This window comes from Homo sapiens, chromosome 4 (genome assembly GCF_000001405.40).
Source record: "Homo sapiens chromosome 4, GRCh38.p14 Primary Assembly".
NCBI lineage: Eukaryota > Metazoa > Chordata > Mammalia > Primates > Hominidae > Homo > Homo sapiens.
Window position 1 is genome coordinate 173,798,025 of NC_000004.12, and position 5,995 is coordinate 173,804,019.

The 5,995-nt window shown below is 36.9% G+C and overlaps 1 annotated feature.

Moving 5' to 3' along the window:
• Positions 3,312-3,881: an enhancer, noted in NCBI's record as "OCT4-NANOG hESC enhancer chr4:174722487-174723056 (GRCh37/hg19 assembly coordinates)". NCBI's record gives its function as "activates a minimal SCP1, AML or CMV promoter by ChIP-STARR-seq in naive and primed H9 embryonic stem cells {active_cell/tissue: H9 hESC(naive and primed)}" and the evidence as "EXISTENCE:reporter gene assay evidence [ECO:0000049][PMID:30033119]".

Sequence of the window (5,995 nt, forward strand, 5' to 3'; positions counted from 1 at the left end):
CACCATGCTGCTCAGAACAGCATGCAACTTAAAACTTAAGAATTTGAATAGAGGTTTATCCAAACTTTTATTTCTGGAATTTTCCATTTAATATTTTGGACCGTTGTGGATGAGGTTAACTTAAACTGTGAAAGGGAAACTTACTATTGTATTTTATGAATTTGTTAAAGAGAAATCTAAACATGCTTCTTTTTTATTTTTTATTTTTATTGATGCATAATAATTGTACCTATTTATGGGGTACATGTGGTATTTTGATACAAGCATACAATGTGCAATGATCAAATTGGGGTACTTAGGATATCCATCACCTAAACATTTATCCTTTCTTTGTGTTAGGAATCAGAATGTTTCTAACACAAAGAAATGATAAATGTTTGAGGTGGTGGATATTCTCTGCAGTTATTTTGAAAGATACAGTAGGTTATTGTTAACTATAGTCTCCCTATTGTGCTACCAGATATTAGATCTAATTCCTTCTATTTGACTGTATTTTTGTACCCATTAACCAACCCATCTTTATCCTTTCGTTGTCCCTTTCATTCCTAGCCTCTGGTATCTGTCATTCTACTCTCTACCTCCACAGGATCAACTTTTTTTTTTTGGAGACGGAGTCTCCCTCTGTCGCCCAGGCTGGAGTGCAGTGGCGCGATCTCGGCTCACTGCAAGCTCCGCCTCCTGGGTTCACGCCATTCTCCTGCCTCAGCCTCCGGAGTAGCTGGGACTACAGGCCCACCACCACGCCCGGCTAATTTTTTTGGTATTTGTAGTAGAGACAGGGTTTCACCGTGTTAGCCAGGATGGAGGATCAGCTTTTTAAACCCTCGCATGCAAGTGAGAAACATGTAATATTTGTCTTTCTGTGCCTGGCTTATTTCACTAAATATAATGCCCTCTACATCCATCCATGCTGTTGCCAATTTTATTATTTTTTTATTGCTGAATAATATTCCATTGTGTATATATACCATATCTTTATTGCTGAATAATATTCCATTGTGTATGTATACCATATCTTTTTTCTTTCTCTCTCTCCTTTCTTTCCTTCCCCCCTTCCTTCCTTCCTTCCTTCCTTCCTTCCTTCCTTCCCTTCCCTTCCCTTCCCTTCCCTTCCCTTCCTTCCTTCCTTCCTTCCTTCCTTCCTTCCTTCCTTCCTTCCTTCCTTCCTTCCTTCTCTCTCTCTCTCTCTCTCTCTCTCTCTCTCTCTCTCTCTTTCTTTCTTTCTTTCTTTCTTTCTTTCTTTCTTTCTTTCTTTCTTTCTTTCTTTCTTTCTTTCCTTTTGATGAGGAGTCTTGCTCTGTCATCCAGACTGGAGTGCACTGGCGCTATCTCAGCTCACTGCAACCTCTGCCTCCCAGGTTCAAGCGATTCTCCTGCCTCAGCCTCCCGAATAGCTGGGATTACAGGCACATGCCACCCTTCCCAGCTATTTTTTTTGTATTTTTAGTAGAGATGGAATTTCACCATGTTGGCCAGGCTGGTCTTGAACTCCTGACCTCAGATGATCCACCTGCCTCAGCCTCCCAAAGTTCCATTTATCTAGTGATGGATGCTTAGGTTGATTTCATATCTTGGCTACTGTGAATTATGTTGCAATAAATATGGGAGTGCAGATATGTCTTCAGTACACCGATTTCCTTTCTTTTGGGTATTTACCTAGCAGTGGGATTGCTGAATCACATGGTAGTTCTATTTTAGTTTTTTGAGGAATCTTTATACTGTTTTCTATAGTGGCTGTACTAATTTACATTCCCACCAACAGTATGAAAGTTTCCCTTTCTCTTCATCCTTGCTAGCGTTTGAATTTTAAAAATCTTTTTGATAAAAGCCATTTTAACTGGTGTGAGATGTTACCATTTTAATTGAAACTTTGATTTGCATTTCCCTAATGATTAGTGATATTGAGCATTTCCTCATATATCTATTGCCCTTTTGTATATCTTCTTTTGAGAAATATCTTTACAGGTCTTTTGCCTATTTTAAAAATTGGATTATTATTATTTTTTTCCTGTTGTTTGAGTTCCTTATATATTCTGGTTATTAATTCCTTGTCAGTTGAATAGCTTACAAATATTTTCTCCCATTCTATAAGTTGTCTCTTTACTTTGTTGATTGTTTATTTTACTGTGCAGAAGTGTTTTAGTATGATGTGATCTCACTTATCCATTTTTGCCTTGGTTGCCTGTGGTTTTGAAGCTTTACTCATAAAACCTTTGCCCAGACCAAGGTCCTGAAGCTTTTTTGCAATGTTTTCTTCTAGTAGTTTTATGGTATCAGGTCTCACAATTACACCTTTAATCCATTTTGATTTTATTTTTGTATATGGTGAGGGATAGGGGTCCACTTTTGTTCTTCTGCATATGGATATCCAGGGTTCCCAGCACCATTTATTGAAGAGGCTGTCCTATTCCCAATGTATGTACTTGGTGCCTTTGTCAAAAATAAGTTGACTGGATATGCATGGATTTATTTTTGAATGTCCTTTATCCAAACTTTATGTCTAGAATTTTCCATTTCATATTTTTAGAATGATGTTGACCAAGCATAACTGAAGCCATGGAAAGAGAAACTGTGGATAAGGGGAACACTATTATATTTTATAAATGCTTAAAAATTTTTCAATGTTTGGAAGCTTTCTTAGGAGGTTCTCACTGCAGAGATCAGGAAATATTTATTAACCACCCACTTTGTGAACAGCAGTGTGTTGGTTATGATATGGTTTGGTTCTGTGTCCCTACCCAAATCTCATCTTGAATTGCAATCATATATGTTGAGAGAGGAACCTGTAATATCCATGTGTTAAGGGAGGGAGGTAATTTGGCCATAAGGGTGATTTCCCCCATGCTGTTCTCGTGATAGTGAGTTCTCACAAGATCTGATGGTTTTATAAATATTTGACAGCTCCTCCTTCACACACATTTCTCTTTACTGCCACCTTGTGAAGAAGGTGCCTGCTTCCCCTTCGCCTTCCACCATGATTGTAAGTTCCTGAGACCTCCCCAGTCGTGTGGAACTGTGAGTCAGTTAAACCTCTTTTCTTTATGAATTACGCAGTCTTGAGTAGTATCTTTCTAGCGGTGTGAAAATGGACTAATACAGGTTCTTTGAAGGCATATTGAAAAAACAGGATATAAGGGGGTCTGCAAATCAATAGTGAGGTAAAATCGTCAAACATGAAGCAAATGGAGGCATGAATATTCAAGATAGAATGTTTTAATGATATATACATTAAACATTATGAAGTTCAGAGGTAAGGGCAGCTTCCCTGGAGGAAATGGAATTGAAGCTAGATCTTGATGGATAGATAAGTTTTGGGGAGGAAGATTCACATCATGTTTGAATGGGGATGTTTGGCAAAGAAGAGATTGCTTTTAGGCAGAAGAATGATACTGGGGTCTTGAAGAACTGAAGATGTCTGAGATGCTCATAGGGCAGTAGCCAGCTGGTTCTTAGTGCATTTTGGGGAAAATCGTGGAGAGGGGAAGGCCTGAGATTGCATAGTGAGAGTGAGGCCCACCTGGTGATCTCTATTATGGTCAAGGATTAGGATCCCCTGAGGAACCACAGAAGCTACCAGTTATTCAGAGAGTGGTTAAAGAACAAAAGGAGGATTTCTTTTCACTTGAGGGCACTCATCTAAATTAACTTTTTGTTGACAAAGAAATGAGTACTCAGTCCTTTCATGCTTCCTTTACTGAAAGGTGATAGAATCTCCTTCATTAGTTCATAATCCAAGTGTAAGGGAAACATATTATTTTAAAATTGTTACTTATAGTTAAAAGTTTCTCAGTGGGTTGGAAATTTAGGCTAGATTCAGATTTCTTTCAGATTTTTTTTCTTGTAGCTTTTGTAAATATTGATTCACCCTAGAAATGAGTTATGGGTAGGAGGGATCTTTAAGAAAATTTTTTTACTATGGAACATAGCATTCCAGAAAAACCTCATTTCTATTGATGAATGGCTGTTGGCATACAGAAACCTGGCATGTGGTCGAGGAGAAGGGATACAGCTGACATGAGAAAAGCTTGAGAAGGAAACTATAATCCCCCTTCAAATTCACTGCTCATTAGAGGAGCTAAAATGATTAAGCAGCTGGAGGTTTTGATGTATGAGGAAAGATTAAAAGAATTACATGTGTGTAGGTTGGCTAAAGAGCTAAGGAGTGTGTGTGCCTGTGTGTGAGGTGGGGATCTGATAGCCATTTGCAGATAATTGAAGGCATAAGCCCCCCAAAAGGAGAGGGATTGTGAAGGTGGTCCTTAGGGGATTATCTAAGGGTAATGAATGAACGGAAGAAGAGAAAGAAAATGGTTTCATCAGGAAGACTTTCATAATGGGTGAGATTTAAGAGGCCATAAAATAATCTCCCAGAAGAGGTGGTGAAATTCCCATCTCTTGAGTCATTTGGAGGAGGCCTAAAAAGTTTTGGAAGTGTATAATGCTACCCTGGTGGGGGAACAGATTTAGTAACCAAGACCATCCTGGGTCCTGATGTTTTACAGCTCCATTTTTAAGATGAATCAATTGATAAACAATAAATTTGGAAGCTTCCCAGGAACTGAGTCTGTCTCATCTCACTGATAATTTTCTTCAAGTAATAAAGACACATTCCATACCTCTTCCTCGCTTGATTTCTACCCATTGTCCTTGACATTGTATTATTTCTTAAGGGACATAAAGGCCCAATGATGGAGGAATTGCAGGATTGAAAGGGTTAGCAGCAAGTCATTCAGCAAATGGCAATATTAATACAGCATCCCTGCACTGCAGTCTCCTTTCCAAACAGGACTGCTCTCTGATACATTGTCAGAACTCCTTGCATTGTGTTCTTCAGGGTTCCTCAGCATTAATCAGCATCTGGACTGTGCCACTCTTGCAAATGAAATTGGTCAAGAATAGCCTTTCCCCAGTATCATGATGAAGCAGAATTTTTTTCTGGTGTCTTTTGATAATGAGAATGACAGTATTCTATCTTTATATTAATAGTTCACAGCAACTAAAAGAGGTGGGATCTCAGAACACTTCATTTAATGCCAATAGAATTGTAACAGAAACCTTATGACCTTGTATGGTCCTTTTCTGTGATCTCACAGTTTCTTTAGTTTTTCCTCTATGTGAGTAATAATAAATGATTCTTACACAAAGATTTATGTACACATATTTCTTCACAGTGTTACTTACACAATTAATGCTAAGAAACACCCTAAATATTCAATATTTGGTAAAAAGTCTTTCTTTATGTCCTTATAGTAGATTGTTACAGCTGTGAAACTCATGGTTTTGAAGAATATACAATGACATCTAAAAATGTGCATGATAATGTTGGAAGAAGCAAGCAGGACCTACAAATACAATATAATTCTAAATGTACTTAGATAAAAAGATAGATAAATAGACATGTATCTTGCCTTTCTATCCTTGAATGATGAAATTAAGAGTAATGTTTTCTTCTTCGTACTGTTTTACATGTTCTGCAATTAATATATATTATTTACCAAATCTGTTATTTAAACAGATTTTTCTTTTAAATTAAAAAAATGAGTGTTTGGATGCAAGTGTTTTGCAAGAAGCAATAGATAACGTGCACAGAGCTCAAAGTGAACTTTTCCACATTAAAAAATAAATTAAATAAAAACACATGTGGAGCATCTGTACAATTTAAAAAGTGAGAAATCAATTTTTGGATTTTTTTCATCCAAAATATTTTTATGAACTGAAACTAGAAGAAAATTAAGATGAGTTTGAGTCAGCATTTCACAAGCTGCTCCAAAGTACTCCAGTGTACCAAAATATTTTATAATATTTAAATATTAGACATTTTAAGCATTAACAAAGATGGATTTCTATTTTTCTTGACCTATTAGAGACTTTAACATGGCAATGAGTATTTCTTTTTTTAAATTTAATTTTATTTTATTTTAAGTTCCAAGATACATGTGCAGGATGTGCAGGTTTGTTACGTAGGTAAATGTGTGCCATAGTGGTTTGTTGCACC